General features: G+C 39.2%; 1 protein-coding gene across 5 annotated transcripts in view, besides 1 other annotated feature; it reads left to right on the top strand.

Annotated features, from left to right (window-relative positions):
* LCP1 (lymphocyte cytosolic protein 1) overlaps positions 1-17,391 on the top strand; it is a 56,255-nt gene that overhangs the window by 29,104 nt on the left and 9,760 nt on the right. For 4 of the 5 annotated variants that reach the window (NM_002298.5, XM_005266374.3, XM_047430303.1 and 1 more), the window contains 7 exons: positions 129-294; positions 1,996-2,138; positions 4,627-4,722; positions 5,971-6,166; positions 8,554-8,632; positions 9,670-9,784; positions 10,649-10,782. In NM_002298.5, the coding sequence (NP_002289.2) occupies positions 129-294; positions 1,996-2,138; positions 4,627-4,722; positions 5,971-6,166; positions 8,554-8,632; positions 9,670-9,784; positions 10,649-10,782 (929 nt within the window). Of the gene's footprint in view, positions 1-128; positions 295-1,995; positions 2,139-4,265; positions 4,560-4,626; positions 4,723-5,970; positions 6,167-8,553; positions 8,633-9,669; positions 9,785-10,648; positions 10,783-17,391 lie in introns of those variants that run through there. The other variant, XM_047430305.1, reaches the window with a different exon arrangement.
* Positions 1,879-3,078: an enhancer, noted in NCBI's record as "BRD4-independent group 4 enhancer chr13:46724131-46725330 (GRCh37/hg19 assembly coordinates)". NCBI's record gives its function as "activates an origin of replication core promoter dependent on BRD2, P300/CBP, MED14 and CDK7 cofactors, and independent of BRD4, by STARR-seq in HCT116 cells {active_cell/tissue: HCT116}" and the evidence as "EXISTENCE:reporter gene assay evidence [ECO:0000049][PMID:35650434]".

Below are 17,391 nucleotides of genomic sequence, written 5' to 3'. Positions count from 1 at the left end.
AATGAGTGAAGACCATGACTCTAAACCTGTGACCTTCGCAGAAGGAAAACATTGTTACTGTTGCCATCGGTATTATTTGGCATCTACAAAGTCATAGAACAAAAACTTGCATACATTTTCTCCCTCAGGAAAATCTGAACTTGGCTCTGAACTCTGCCTCAGCCATCGGGTGCCATGTGGTCAACATAGGGGCTGAGGACCTGAAGGAGGGGAAGCCTTATCTGGTCCTGGGACTTCTGTGGCAAGTCATCAAGATTGGGTTGTTTGCTGACATTGAACTCAGCAGAAATGAAGGTAAGAGCAAGTCCCAAAGGTCATTTATGACACAGCTTTCTAATAACTTACGCGTTGGGGACTGTAGGAGGAAGATGTCAGAAATTCTCAAGTTTTGAAAACTACACAGTTATATTGATTCCATGGTATTCATGTCACAGATTCTATACACACAGACCAGACGTTTTTTAATGATAGAGCAAAAGCTTTTTAAGACCATAGACTAACAATAATGTTTGTTTGGAGCATAGGGCTCAGTCTTGAATGTTTGGCACTCTAACCTCAAGAGGTTTTTTCAGAGCTCACTTTGCCTTTAGATATTTGTAACAAATAAGAGGACTTTTAACTTGCACTTTGCGAAGTAAGCAACTCACATTCATATACTATAGTGAAGGTACCAGATTAGGAGGAACTTGGTCTATTTCTTATCAAAACTATAGAGGAAGGTATAGGTCAAAGGGTTCAAGGTTGCAATTATATGGGATGAATAAGTGGAGATCTAAACAGCACGAGGGCTATAGTTAATAATATTGTGCTGTATACTGGTAATTTGCCAAGAAAGTAGATTTCAGGCACTCTTCCTACAAAAAAGAAAGAAAGAAAGAGATAGAGAGAGAAATGAAGAAAGAAAGAAAGAAAAAGAAAGGTAACGATATGAGATGTGAGTATGTTAATTTGCTTGACCAACAGTAACCACCTTACTGTGTATGTGTCTACCAAGATAAGTATACCAAAACATCACGTTACACACCTTAAATCTATGCAGGCTAGAATAAACATTTTTAAAGACCGTAGAAAATTCCATTTAGGGTTTCAGAGTTCTCAACTAAATATGTAGCTGTCAATCTTATTGCGTCTTCTCTCACCATCTTATCTGTATGTAAACAGTGACAGCCCCCTGGCTTAGACAGAGGTAGCCCACCTTGATAAGTATCATGCAAAACACGATGTTATCTTTTAGTTATCAGGTACAAATCCTACCAATATGAAATCTGTAGTCAAGTTCTAATCTTTAGTTATACATACTTTTTTATTTATATGTCCAAATCACAATAACCAATGAAAAATCCTGAAATATTATTTAAAAACCAATGTATTAAACATAATATAAAGAAGGCGGGGGAGAGGAAATAGGGATCTTAGAACCTGTGAGAAAGAATATTGATCTTCAAATAATGACCTCAGCTAAATTTAAACCTTCTAGCTGAGCAAAAAAATACTTACTCATCTGGGAAAACGTAGAGGAGAGTTGATTACATTGTTGAGTTGCTATAATTAGGCAGGTAAGCACTTGAAATATAAAACACCTATGGGAATAGACAAGAGAACATTGTTATTATTACAAAATTGATCTCTTAAAAGCAAAAATGTTGTCATATTGTGAAATGTGGTTTGACAGACCCAGCAAAACATCCGAGCCAGTAGCCTTGGTTATTTTTATGGCTCTGCCCAAATGTTCTTAAACATAGCGTTGAGATTCACTGTGCTTTGTTTTCTCCATCTGGAAAATGGAGATAATAAATAAGCTCACAATGGCTTACGCCTCTTTTTAGGGAATAATAATAAAATATTTAATCCATGGGAAAGGCTACAAGAACCTTTACCCCAAAGAGGTAACGTTGTTATCTTTAGCTTTTTAGCAGAGCTTAATGAAAGTTATAACCAACCCCCCTCCCCCAACATCGCTGCATTTATTTTTCTGTGGTTTTTGTGCTTCTTCAGCTCTGATTGCTCTTTTGAGAGAAGGTGAGAGCCTGGAGGATTTGATGAAACTCTCCCCTGAAGAGCTCTTGCTGAGGTGGGCTAATTACCACCTGGAAAATGCAGGCTGCAACAAAATTGGCAACTTCAGTACTGACATCAAGGTAGGAGGAGCGTTGTTTGAACATGACTCTCTGCAGGAGTGAAGGGGAATTTGGGCAATAATAAAGAAAAGATAAAGATTTGGGGCTTCCTCTCTTCAGAAGTTCCAGGGTAGTCTGGTGCTGTTTTGGAGGTGCTCACTGTCCTTGAGAGCCCATCTGCTGCTCTAGTCCTGGGCCATACACAGACCTGCCCAGAGTCCTAGTGCAGTGTCTCGATTGGAGTTTCCATATCAGGAAGTAGAGGGACAAAGGTGAGCTAGAGGAAGAGCAAGAGAACAGTCTGCTGTCCAAGTAAAGGGAATATATGTAGGTCTGTAATGTCTCTGGTTTCATAAATGGGAGCAGCAGATGGGAATTCCCTGTAAAAAATTAAATGAAGATGACTCTTCTAGTTATACTAATAACAGCAAACATGGTGTCTGCAACATGCCAGGCACTGTTCTAACTGATTTATATGTGTATTCTCTTATTGAATCCTTACAACAACCCCATGAGGTAAGGGTTATTATCCTCTCATTTTACAGATAAAGAGACAAAGAGGTCCATAGGGGAAAGGCTGAGGCAGGAATACACTGTGGTTTTCAAGTATATGAAAAGTTCCCTGTCAAGGTGAAAGAAAACAGCTATTGGCAATGATGACAGATGGATGAAGATAGAAAGTGGTTAAGGAGCAGAAAGGAATGGAAAGCGGTCCCTAGAAGGAAAGAGTAGGAGATGCTGGGATGCAACACCAGGAAAATACTTCAGTCTCCACTTTCTCAAACATTAAATAACTTTTCCCCAAAGAGAAAGAGTCAGAGGAAAGTTCACATGACTCAACAGGAGTACACCTAGGCTTGTAATTCTTTGAGTAACAGTTTCCCACTGCTATATGACGTGCATTCAGTGGCATTTAGAACTCAGCGTGTGTCAGGCACTGTGCCAGTCAGAGTCAAGCTTCTAGATGGAAAGCCCCCATTTTTTAGGATCTAAGCTAAATCCATCTTTCTAACTATGCATCTTTCATGGGCTATTAACATTCTTCTAGCACCACCAACCGACCTGGGTTTTAACAGGAGCTGGCTGTCATGCTCTCCCTTTGTGCTCAACAGTTAAGCTCTGCAATTGCAAAACTTTTCAGACAAAATTAGGCTGTCAGATCTCAGCTGTAAATTTACCTAATTTCCTGTCATTAAATGGCTGTGTTCTCTAGAACCACCATTTTGTGCTTTGGGAAGTGTCTGTATGAGATAGGAGCTGGCCAGATGAGCACTTACTTATACAGTGTTGTGCCTGTTCTCTGGCAGCCGCTGCATGGCAACTGACTCCGTGCTGTCATGTGTATGTCTGAGTAGCCAGCCAGCAACCTTGGGAGATGTCTTTAAATCGTGTAAATTGGCAAAGGCGAGGAGAACACCCAGGCTAGAGTGAGTGAGAAGGTTCATGAGAGTCAGGTGAAATGAGGTTACTCTTAGCCAAACTAAAAAGATGTAACCCAGGGCAGGCAGATGGTATTGGTGCCTGACACCTGCATGTGACTTTCACTGACTTCAAAATAGCTACAGTGAAAAGTCAGAGAAGGGAGGGTAGATAGAAGGGAGATGAAGATCATTTTCCCCAGGTGCAACATCAATGATTCACACTCTCTGGTTCTCCTCTTTCTAATGCCAAAAGTGGTGAGCATACCTCTCCTCTGCCCAGGCCTTACCTACCCTAACCAGTTGTAGAAACAAAATAATAGCTGATTTTTCGATCTTTATGAGAAATTGAGATGCTATTAAATGATTTAAATAAACTACCTGAAAATCTGTATGCTTTCATTGACTAAGAATAAATTTATATTTTAAGACTATAATTCTGAGAATTCTTTTTGTCAATAAGCATATTTTCAGAATCTAAGAAAACTTGAGAATTCAATACCTGTATCTAATCTGCTATAACTAAATTGAACCATTTTTCTAGCTTCTAGATAAATATGAAATGCACTTTTCTTAATATTTCTCCTTTTACGTAAAGATTGCTTGTTAATGCTTCAATCTTCTGTCTTTGACATCTTTTTCTCTTGCTGATTGTCCATTTAAATGTATTTTAAACTCGCTTTAAACTTGTGCTTCCTTTTTCTGTCACTTTTTTTTAATTAAACCTTAGCTGACTGACTTCTACAGCAATATAAAGGTATATATATATTTTCCTGTATACAATTTAATTCATGTAAATAAGTTGTTTTTCTCCCCTAAAGACAACAGAATAATATCCACTTCTTTAGGGTGCCTTTTGTGTATATCTTGTCTATTTTATTGTTACGCTCCTTTTAAAAAGAAAAGCAAATGTGATATGTAAAGAGACAAATAGAACATTCAAATTAGTGAATGTTTCTAGCTTTGTTAAGTTACATTCTGGAATGATAGCTGAATATGAAATAAAATGTTTGCTTTTGGGAAATCATTGTTATGCTAAGTATGTAATTAGCTGTGCTATTTTGAAATTGGAATTTCTTAATTTCTCACAGGACTCAAAAGCTTATTACCACCTGCTTGAGCAGGTGGCTCCAAAAGGAGATGAAGAAGGTGTTCCTGCTGTTGTTATTGACATGTCAGGACTGCGGGTAAGGCCAGGTCCCAGTTGTGTTTGGAGAATATGATGCTATTTTCATGTTGGCAGTTCCATTACCTTGTGTGGCCCTGATTCTGGAGTTCCATGACTGGGCATTTCTGCCTAAAGCCCTGTTAAAACGGTAAAACTGTGAGCAGTTTGGGATAATAATTGATGAAAACTGAATCTGGAAATACAACATTAAAGAAAGAAACCAATAGTAATTAAACACCATCCAGCATGCTAGGCAATTCTATATATGTTCATCATTTAGTAGACTCTATAACCCCACATGGGTCTGAATGTTATAATAAAACTTCTGTTTTGCCGCCACTTTAATACTGATCTTGAGAAGTCTCTTTGCCCGTTTCTGTGCCTCATTTAATATCACTGGAGTTAAATCCAATGAGTTCATGTTGAAGTCAACTGATTCCTAATGAGAAGTAGAGTAAAAGTAAATGACAAGTAAAGCTCATGAAATGCATAATGTGTAGCGTTATCTAGTAAAGGGTCATATTAAGAAATCATCCTAATTTAAAGTTTTGTTTTCTGAAAATTGGTGGTTTCATGTACTTTAAGGACAGTGGGCCATATTTCAGCAAAATTTTAGGGTTAAGAGTCACTTACAAATGGCTAGAGATTCTCTAGAATTATTTGAGCACATTGAGTGGTTCAAAATCTGAAGTCTGCAAAAATAAAATTGATATTATATATTTATCAATAATAATACATAGGTTAACTGATAAAATTTATTTTATTTGGGTTGCAAGTATACCAACTCAATGTGGAGACAGTGGTTATGCTAATCATATGTTCTTACTGGCAAGTGTAAATATCTTTTGTGAACTGGTTATGGGAATATAAATTAATAAATAAAATTTTTGATAGACAATCTCATGTCATCTGTGCACACAAATAATAAAAAGGAATCTTAATGGTTGGAAATAATTAAGATAAACTCAAATGATCAGTTTTCAGAATCTACTGCATCTCTTTTGAAACAGAGCAACCAACCACTCATCTGAAATAGTTTGATAAAGGAGATGAGAGATCCTTGTTACTTAACCTCTGAGATTCCTTTTACTTGTGACTTTCTGATTTTGGTGCAGGTGCATATAGGCAATAATGTGCTGTTATTAAGTGTCTGCCTGAGATAAACACTAATGATTTCAGTGAGATTCCCATTTCTTTTCACATTATGCAATCTGCTTTGTGCATGGAGAGCCTTGACCCAGCCCTGAGACATCCTTTTGCATTGCAGGAGAAGGATGACATCCAGAGGGCAGAATGCATGCTGCAGCAGGCGGAGAGGCTGGGCTGCCGGCAGTTTGTCACAGCCACAGATGTTGTCCGAGGGAACCCCAAGTTGAACTTGGCTTTTATTGCCAACCTCTTTAACAGATACCCTGCCCTGCACAAACCAGAGAACCAGGACATTGACTGGGGGGCTCTTGAAGGTAACTGTAAACGATTTGCCTAAGATGGGGAAAGGCACTCACAATTCTAATTCAATGGCAATTCAAACTCACTTCCTAAGCAAATATAAACTATTTACATGTGCAAACAGGCCATTAATTCTCTGGTATGCAACAAAGAGAATAAATAGATTCATCAAGTCAATTTCAGCCAAGCAGGAATAATCAAATACCATTCTATCACGTCCATTAACAAAGCGTTCATCCATTATCAGAATTAAATGTTTTAGGAAAGATAATGCATTTAGTTATTAGATGAAATAAATCCTGAGTTTCAAAAAGATAATTTACGTACTTAATGGACTGTGTTGATTCCTAGAGACAAGAAATTGCCACCATCCATTTCCAAAAAATGATATTTAAGGTATGCTGGGATATGCTTACTGAGTTTTTGGTTTTCTTTTGTTTCTTACGGGAGCCACAGAAAAGTATTTTGAGGCAGAATCCCTAACAGTTGTATTTTTCAGGTTAATGCTCTAAGATTCAACAAAAAGCATATAGCTTTAATTACGTTCTACCAGGTAGAGGTGCTGGAGATGTTTACTTGACTTTTTTAAAAAAATCATGAACTAGTCCCAATATTGAGACAAAGGTCAACTAATATTAAATGAATATCACCCAAGCAAGGAGATTCAGATTTGAAGTATGAGTTGATCCTTTTCCACAGTGCTTTACTCTCACTAGAAATGCAGCATAATCGTGCTCCAACACTCCTGCATTGGTGTCATTTGCTGAATTATGGTCAGGGGGTTGTGTGTATTTTGTTGACTCCCAAATCTATATATCAAGCCCACAAATCACCCATTTCAGCTGCTTCTAGAATATTCCTGTTTGGATCCTTGGCTATCATTTGAGGTGCAGCATATGCAAAACAGAATTGATTATTTTCCCTCCCACCCCCAACCATTGCCTTTCCAGCCCACCTCCCATCCCGTTTGCCCTCTTTTTTTTTTTTTTTTTTTTTTTTTTTTTTTTTTTTTTGAGACGGAGTCTCGCTCTGTCGCCCAGGCTGGAGTGCAGTGGCGGGATCTCGGCTCACTGCAAGCTCCGCCTCCCGGGTTCACGCCATTCTCCTGCCTCAGCCTCCCAAGTAGCTGGGACTACAGGCGCCCGCCACTACGCCCGGCTAATTTTTTGTATTTTTAGTAGAGACGGGGTTTCACCATTTTAGCCGGGATGGTCTCGATCTCCTGACCTCGTGATCCGCCCGCCTCGGCCTCCCAAAGTGCTGGGATTACAGGCGTGAGCCACCGCGCCCGGCCTGCCCTCTTTTAGAAATGCTCCATTTCCATTAATCATACCATTTTTTTTTCTTTAGTCACCAAACTAAAGAGCTTGGATCCTACTATATCTTCCTATCCTTCATCCCTACATCCACTAAATCAGCAAATACTAATAATTCTTCCTTTGGAACATTTTCTCAATTGTTATGTTTCTTTTATGCTATTCCAAGCTCATTACCTCATACACTAATTATTTTAATGGATCTTGGAGTCTCCATTTATCAAATGCTTGAATGTATCCCACATGCTAATGTCAAACACTCTGTCCTCTGCCGTGTTTAATTCAAATGCATATCGCCTTTCAGTGATTCTGCACACTGCTGCCAGTCACATCCCGGTACTGATTTTATTATATCTCTGCCTTGCTCAAGAATTTATTGTAGTAATTTTACAAAGCCATAATGACTGCCGTTGTCTGTCAACTAAAATCTGCTACCTGGTATCCAAAGATCCCCAATTCTGAATCCTTCTTCCAGATAGGCTTATCTCATTGGGCTGTACAACACACACCCCTGACCAAACCAGTTCCTGATGTTCTTAATAGAGACCTTGCCTGTTGCTCCCTTTGTATGCATATTTATACTACCTTCTACTCCCACCCCTTGCTATCTCCCCAAATCCTCTACTCTTTCCTTTTTCTGATCCAGATTTTGCTAGCTATCCAAGGACAAGTTCAAATTCCACCCCTTCCAAGTTCAGTCCATACTGTTCTTTTCCCTGTCTCAATTCAAATAACAAATATATCTACCTCATAAGTGAGTTCTGTAGCTTGTATGATCTCTGTTTGATGCCTAAAAGTCCTGTTTTTTCCAGCAAGAAGGTAAGCCTTTGAGAGCCAACTGAACAGCTACCCCACACAGGATTCCACACACTATTAATAGATACTATAGAAATACATGCGGAATTGAAATGGAAAAGAAAAATTAACACAGTATAAGAACCCTCGTCCAAATCCAATACAGTTTATTTTATTTCTTTCTTTCATTCTACTTTCAGTTTTTATTGCATCCTCTTTAGTTAAACTTTGGTCATAAAAAAGCTATGTTTTCTTCGGTCCCAAAAGATAACCCATCTTCATTCATCTAGGTGAGACGAGAGAAGAGCGGACATTTAGGAACTGGATGAACTCCCTGGGTGTTAACCCTCGAGTCAATCATTTGTACAGGTAGGAATATTTGGGAACTCATTCTAATGTAAGATAGAGACCTCAAAAGAGCCATAGGATTCCAAATACCACTATGATGTGCATTCTCTTCACAAAATGTGCATACCTTGCTGGAAGGGGAAAAAGTGCCAAGTTGAGCTTCAGATGTTGGATATTCAGTTGAAAAACTCACCTGCATACATCAGTCTCACTGTGTGCTCAATATATAAATCATACCTCAACAAAATGAAACATTTACTATATGTCATAAGTGATCTTACATATAACCCGCTCACAAGCAGGCAAAACAACAGATGTTAAGTTTGTGGTGAAGTGTCTCCTATGCCACTTGTTAAAGCAATTTTCTTCTTTTTTTTTTCAATATTTCTTTTTTTTTGAGATGGAGTCTCGCTCTGTCGCCCAGGCTGGAGTGCGGTGGCGCAATCTCGGCTCACTGCAAGCTCTGCCTCCCGGGTTCACGCCATTCTCCTGCCTCAGCCTCCCAAGTAGTTTGGACTTCAGGCACCTGCCACCATGCCTGGCTAATTTTTTGTATTTTTAGTAGAGACGGGGTTCCACCTTGTTGGCCAGGATGGTCTTGATCTCTTGACCTCATGATCCACCCGCCTTGGTCTCCCAAAGTGCTGGGATTACAGGCGTGAGCCACTGCGCCCGTTCTAAATATTTCTTTTACATTTATTTAGTTTTACAAATTGTAAACCTTTAGGTACAGGGGACATGTGCAGGTTTGTTATATAGGTTAATTGCATGTTGCAGGGGTTTGGTGTACAGATTATTTCGTCACCATAGTGCTCTTTCTTTTCCTGAGGCAGCATATGTTGGATGGAAGGGCATAGCTAGTCACACCTGGGAAGAGTGAGTCCCCCAATCTCTCTGAGTCATGGTTTCTTCACCTCTATAGATGGAGCTACGACTACCAAGTGTGCAGGGTTGTTGTGAATATTCTTTGAACTAATATGTAAGAAAGTGTCTGGCCCATTGTAGGCCCTGAATAAATGTTGGATATCTGAGAATCCTTTTGTGTTTGTTTTGTTCAGTGACTTATCAGATGCCCTGGTCATCTTCCAGCTCTATGAAAAGATCAAAGTTCCTGTTGACTGGAACAGAGTAAACAAACCGCCATACCCCAAACTGGGAGGCAATATGAAGAAGGTAAACAATGATGGTTCTGTTGTTCCAGGAGACAGGCAAAGTCATAGCCTGCAAGAGCACTCTAAATACTTTATAAGGCAGCCAAACGTAGACAAGTAATGTTTTTCCAGAAATTAAATTCTAGTACAGCAATCAGAAACCTGAACAGCTTTATTAAAGTGTGTCCATTATTTCAGTCAATTGCTTATTTATAATTCCATGTTGGATGTCTTCAAACATTATCATGCAAAAATTCTAATTAAGATAATTAGAGCAAGCAGAGAGCCACAGGGATTTTTCCCTCAGCAGGATCTTTATTCTAATTTCTAAAGAATTGGAGCTTGTACTGACAGCTTGACTTGTTCAAACAGTTTGTCGACTGTCAACACAGTGGGAACATTGTTTTGAAACAACAGGGTTGACACAGCCATTTCTCAGCATTTCTTATTGCCGTGACTGTTAATGATCCATGCGTAGCTACAGGAATATCTGTTCACATGTCCATTTGCTATGTGTGCAGAGGATGGAGACTCCAAATTTTCCATGTCAATCTCCATGAATTCACCTTTTTTAGAAATATTACATGTAGGTAATTAAGGATGGCTCTCCATTTCTGCAGTGTGATATAGCTGTGAACATATTCATAGTAATGAATTCATTTCAGTTTTCCACATTATGAATATTTTTTATGAAAGTGAGGGGTTCTAAGGACAGATGGAAAATTCTTTAATTTTGAATCCTAGAATTGCAGAACCAGTTGAGACTTGAGAGGTCATTCGGTCTTACCATATTTATTTCATTTTTTATCTTTATTTTTATTATTTATCTGGTATTTATCATAATCAAGATGATGACGTTAAATCGTTTTCCTTTCTGCTCATTCAGCTTGAGAATTGTAACTACGCGGTAGAATTGGGGAAGAATCAAGCGAAGTTCTCCCTGGTTGGCATCGGTGGACAAGATCTCAATGAAGGAAACCGCACTCTCACACTGGCCTTGATTTGGCAGCTAATGAGAAGGTAGTATAGCTTATGGAAGTGGCTTTTTCTTGAATACATTATTTACTTAGACAAATATTAGCAAATTTTTAGCAGTATGAGTTAATTCAGTAAAAGTATGTTTTAAGCTAAGCTTCATAACCAGAGAAACACTTTTTACCTTTCTGCTTTTTTTTTTTCAGTCCTATCAGTTTTTGTTTCAAGTATCGTGAAACTCTGTTATTAGGTTCATAAACAGTTTAGATTGTTGTTTCATTCTAATTTACTCATCCCTTTGTCCTTATAAAGTAGTCTTTTTTATGCCTACTAATATTCTTTTCTCTGAAATCTATTTTTTCTGACATTAATAGATAATAGCTACTATTGCTTCTATAGGCTTCCTATTGATTAGTGGTTAGCATGGCCTATCTTTTTACCATCCTTTTACTTCAATTGATCTGTGTAAATAACAATTACTTTTAAAGGGACTTTTTAAATAAAGGGGAAATTATGCTATATTTATCTACACATTTACTATTTCTAGTGCTCTTCCTACTATTTTATAGATCAAGATTTCCATTTGGTATCATTTTCTGTCTACCTAAAATATTTCTAATAGCACAAGTTTGCTGGTGATGAGTGATTTCAGCTTCTATATGTCTGAAAATGTCTATTTCATTTTCAAAATATTTTTTTCTCTGAGTGCAGAATTCTAAGTTGATAGTTTTTTCTTTCCGTACTTTAAAGATAGTTTCACTGTCTTCTGGCCCACATTGTTTCCAAGGGGAAATCTATTGTCATTCTTATTGTTGTTCCCTCATATGTAGTATTTCTTTTCTGGCTTATTTTAAGATTTCTCTTTATTACAGGTTTTAGGTAATTTTATTATGATGTACATTGTTGTTTCTTTTTTTTTTTTTTTTTTTTTGAGACAGAGTCTTGCTCTGTCGCCCAGACTGGAGTGCAGTAGTGTGATCTTGGCTCACTGCAATCTCCACCTCCTGGGTCCAAGTGATTCTCCTGCCTCAGCCTCCTGAGTAGCTGGGACTACAGGTCCACGCCACCATGCCCAGCTAATTTTTGTATTTTTAGTAGAGACGGGGTTTCACCGTGTTGGACAGGCTGGTCTCAAACTCCTGACCTAATGATCCGAGTGCCTCAGCCTCCCAAACTGCTGGGATTACAGGCATGAGCCACCATGCCCAGCTCCATTGTTGTTTCTTATGCTTGAGGTTTGTTGAACTTATAGAATCTATGGGTTTATACTTTCCATCAAATTTGGAAAACTTAACTTTCATCTCTTCAAACATATCTTCCATACCCACCAGCCCTGGTTCTGGGGGATTCCAAGTCCATGTATATTTGATCGTTCAAAGTTGTCCCTAAGCTCACCGATGCTTTAGTGATTTATTTTCTCTATGTTTCATTTTGTATAACTTGTATTGCTGTGTTTTCAAGTTCACTAATCTCTTTTATTTTGCATGTCTAATATTCCATTAACTCCATCCAGTGTACATGTTTTTTAACCTGGACATTATAGTTTCCATGTATAGAAATTTTGAGTCATTTTTATATTTCCCATAGCTGTCCTTTCCTTTACCTTCTTGAACATACAGAAAATAATTACAGTAACTTATTTTGGGATCTGTTTCTACTAATTTATTTTTATCTTCATTATGAGTCATATTTTTTGGCTTCTTTGCATGCTGCTAATTTTTTAATTATATGTCAAATATCATGAATTTGACCTTGCTGTGTACTGGATATTTCTGTATTCCTTTAAATATTCTTAAATTTAATCCTGGGATAGACTTAAGTAACTTAAATACAGTTTGATCCATTTGAGGCTTACTTTTAAGCTTAATTAATCTAGAGCTCATTTTGCTTGTTAGTAATGAGAAAATGGTCTTCTGAGTACTTTGCTTGATGCTCATGTATTATGAAATTTTTCCACTCCAGCTGGTGGGAACAAATTTTTCCAGCCTTGTGTGAGCCCCAAGGATTGCTCTCGTGGCTCATTTCTGGTGGGTTTTTCCCCACAGCCTCTAGTAGTTTCCTCACACATGTGCACTGAGTGGTCCTCAGCTGAAGACTGAGGGAAACCCTCTGAAGGCCGCTGAAGCTTTCTTTCTGAATGACTCTCTTCTCTCTATACAGTTCTCACCACTCTGATAGTCTTTCCCCTAAATTCTAGGCACCTGGGCTTCCTTCATTTCTCATCCCTGTTTCCTCCACTCAAGAGGATGGCCAGCTGTTTGGGTTTTCTCCTCCTATGCTGCAGCTTGGAAACTTTTTCCATGCTGGAAAAATCTTAAGGCTAACTTTGTTTTCTTCTTTTCAGGGGCCACTGTCCTGTGCTTCCTATTGTCTGATGTCTGAACAACATTGTTTCATATGTTTTTCACTGTATTATAAGTGTTTAAATGTGGGCCCTGTTATTCCATCATGGCCAGAAACAGAAGTTCCTTTCATACAAAACTTTAGATATGTTTTGGAACTGAATATAAACTTGACTAATGTGAGAAGTATAGGGTGATATTAGTTAAACAAAAATAGGTTATAAAAAGATACACAAATAGAAAATAAATTATAAGAAAAAGAAACAATTTTGGTACAAAATCATAAGCTTGGGAAGACTTTTAGATAGGAATTCTGTAAGTAATAAAATAATTTACTTGTAAATGCTTCAGTCTTTCCCCCTATACTAATAGCTCTGACAAGGCAAGAATCTTACATCCCCTCATTAGATCCTATGTTAGTGTGACTCAATTCATTTTCCTACCTGGAAGGAAGCCCCAGAAACTGCATGTCACATTACATTCTGTCTGGAAAGATAATGGCAAAGACAAGGTTCGTGGTGTGCCTAGGCACTGCAGCTTTAGTTCCAAGCCACTGTCTGCAGATCCTAATAATGGCCGGCTCTGGATGTAATCGTGTCAGTATTTCCAGATAAGGTAGGATAATCAGAAGTGATCATAAAAGATTTCACTCCCTGATTCACATTTGCTTTACTAAGTATAGAGCTCCATTACCCATTTCCACACTGGGGTCTCTTTAATGATGGGGGCAGATGTCATAAGGCTCCCCTGGTGCAGAAAACTCCAGAACTAAAGAAACTCCAACTCTGTCTTTTAGTTTACTGCATGTATCCAGAACATCATTGAAAACTCCTCAGGGCTGTTCTCACCAGTGTATTTCCAGATGATATTTCCAAGCTATCTTTATTATCTTCCACAAGTTTTAAATTTTTAACAGATTAGCAATTCATACTGATTGCTTTAAAAACCAAAGCAAAAGTCCTTTTAGTTGCAACAGTTAAACTGACTCATGGGTTTCAATATTAAATAATCTTTAATATATGCTATTTTAATGATTAAAAAGCTCAAGCCAGCGGGTGCGGTGGCTCATACTGTAATCCCAGTACTTTGGGAGGCCGAGGCGGGTGGATCACCTGAGGTCGGGAGTTTGAGACCAGCCTGGCCAGCATGGTGAAACCCCATCTCTACTAAAAATACAAAAATTAGCCAGGTATGCTGGTGCGTGCCTGTAGTCCCAGGTACTCAGGAGGCTGAGGCAGAAGAATCTCTTGAACCTGGGAGGCAGAGGTTGCAGTGAGCCAAGATCATGCCACTGCACTCCAGCCTGGGTGACGGAGCGAGACTCTGTCTCAGAAAAAAACAAACAAACAAACTCAGGTCAACCCCATTCTATGTTAAATTTCATAATATCTGAAAAACGTCTTGCAATATGATCTTTGGATGTTTTATAAAAATGTGGCTCAAAGCCCTATTTAATGGCTGGCACATACACAACAAGGTCCACTCTGCTGTTGCTGTCTCCACCTGGTTAAAAAGTCATATTTCTCATGAGTGTTTACTACATAAGAATCGTGCATTTAAGAAAGTAGACAGAAAAATATATTACTGTAGAAGGAGAAGTAATGACTGATAATTATATAAATGGCACCGGAAGGGATTTTTTTCCCTGCATGCTATATATTAAAAGATCTATTAAATTTACAGCTGGTTCTAGCTGGAATTTATTTCATTGAATTGTGCTGATGTGCTAATTTGGTCATTTATCTGGACAATAAATGGCTTGTCATTTTTTCCTATGAGAGCAAATGAGAGATATGTACTTAAACTTCCCTATCCCCTTCAGTAGCTTGGAAATCATTCTCAGGGTGGACAGTTGGCAAACAGCATATGCATAAACTTGCAGATAAAACCCTTGAAGCAAGCAGGCTGCCAGCACATGGCAATGATGGCTCTGAAGCAAATGAACAAAGAATCCGAAGCAGACAATTAGGAAACTCTCCCCAGGTCAAACAGGCTGTGGATGGTGAAGTCAGGATGGGTCCTTGAAAAACAAAATGCCTGGTTTGTTCCTCTATGCCAAATAATAAATAAGTAAAACAAGTGTTGGAAGGCAGGAAAGTAAGCAGGTACTAATCACATCCCTCTAGTGCCTCACATCCAAACCTCATCAACTCTCTTGTTGAAGGAGGAACTGGCTAAAGCTGGAGCTCATAATTCTGTTTCATTTTGACAAAGAGCTTTTCAGCACAGCACATTTTACAAACACTGGTAATACTGAGATCTTGTCTGGAGGGCTCCATTTAATAGCACAATCGTCCCAAAGCAGGTTTGATAATATGCAGTAATTATCTCAAAAGGAAAAATCTAGAAAGACACAGGCCAAATTAGTTTTTGTTTTACATTTCAAATCTGTATTTAGATGAGCAATTGCTTAGTGTACTATCTAGAATGGAGGCTCTAGCCTAATTTTTTTTTGAGACAGAGTTTTGCTCTTGTTGCCCAGGCTGGAGTGCAATGGTGCGATCTCAGCTCACCACAACCTCCACCCGCCAGGTTCAAGCAATTCTCCTGCCTCAGCCTCCCACCAAATAGCTGGGATTACAGGCTTGTGCCACCACACCCGGCTAATTTTCTACTTTTAGTAGAGACAGGGTTTCTCCATGTTGGTAAGGCTGGTCTCAAACTCCTGACCTCAGGTGATCCGCCCGCCTCGGCCTCCCAAAGTGCTCGAATTACAGGCATGAGCCACCGTGCCCGGCCCAGCCTAATTCTATTCTTTCTTCTCTTTGTGTTTTTTTTTTTTTTTATCGTTTTACTTACAAGTGGGTGTCTGATTCCATTTCAAACCTCTGCATCTCAGTTGAGGTGACAGAAAGACTGCCTTGTGTTCACTGGAACTCTGTGCCACTATGAGAGGCTGTTCTCAAACCCCAGCATGGAATAAGCTGCCTCCACAATTTGCTATACCTCTATAAGGTTCCCTGTTCCTTAGTAGCTTCTCACTCTTGCAGACAAACTTTAGTATAAAGGTGGGCTTCCCCTCTGCACCATTTAGTTCCCAGGCTTAGGAGGTGGGTCAAGAACACTGCTGCCGTTTACATGAGCATGTGGACAACGCCGGGCTGCAACTCCTGATGAAGGGAAGTGAGAACTAGGTCTCAGGACAAGAGAAGCTACCAGAAGACTGATTAAACTTAGTTTGTTCCGTCAGGTTATATATAGAGAGGACCTAATGAAGCAAGCACTAACCTACCTTTTTTTTAATTCAGATGTTCATTAGGCAGAAATTCTTAGATGTTACAGTAAATGCTAATAACTTAATATGCATGCTATCTGGAAATAAGAAGCCAGTTATGCCATAAAATGTAACCTTTATGAAGAGATCAAAAGTAGGATCTTTTCCAAACTAGAAATATTTTGAAAATCTATCTGCACTTACCCCATTTATACTCATGATTTCTCAGCATTTTGGTCCCATCTCTTGGACCAGACTAAACATCTTTCTTATCCCCTTGCTTTCCCTGGGAGACAGTCACTCTATTTATTTCACCCGCCTCTCTGTGCCTTCATTTACTAGATGTCCAGTAGTGCTAGGCAGTCTGCTAACCTCTGATGAACAGGGCACATGGACCCTGTCCGAGGGCACACGGTGGATACCAATGCCATCACAAGTTCTGGGAACAGGTTTGAAGCAAGTATACCAATACTGATGAATACACTGTGCAAGCTGGAAAAGTGATACTTGAGCTGAGGATTGTTCAAATGATTAGGAATTCACTAGAAGGGAAGGGGGCCCAGGTAGTGAGTACAGATGAGTCCCAGAAGCAGGAGGCAGAAGGAGGATGGAGGTGTGCCTGGGGAGCTGCTGATGGTTCTGTGTGGTTGAAATGTGTATAGGTCTTTGTGTGTGTGTGTGTGTGTGTGTGTGTGTGTGTGTGTGTAGCACACGATGGGCAAGGAAGCAGAGAGGGAAGAAGGAAATCACAGATGTGCTGGAAAAGAATACTAGAGCCAAATTGTAAAGGGCCTTGTGTGCTGTGTGCTGGAGCTTAACCTGTATTCTTTGGGCCATGTCGAATCACATTAAATGTGACCAAGCAGGGAGCTGTGGCATGTGTCTGTGGTCCATCCCGTACTAGGGAGGCTTGCTTGAGCCCAGGAGTTCGGGGGCGCAGTGAGCCATGACCATACCTGTGAATATCCACTGCACTCCAGCCTGGGCCATGGGCCATGTAGTGAGACCCCATCTCTTAAAAAAAAAAAAAAAAAAAAGACAGACCAGAACTGTACTTCAGAAAGGAAATTCTGTGAGGTGGAGAAACAGAATGAAGAG

This window comes from Homo sapiens, chromosome 13, assembly GCF_000001405.40.
Source record: "Homo sapiens chromosome 13, GRCh38.p14 Primary Assembly".
Classification (NCBI taxonomy): Eukaryota; Metazoa; Chordata; class Mammalia; order Primates; family Hominidae; genus Homo; species Homo sapiens.
Note: the sequence above shows the minus strand (reverse complement) of the source record. Positions and strands in the feature narration are given on the sequence as shown.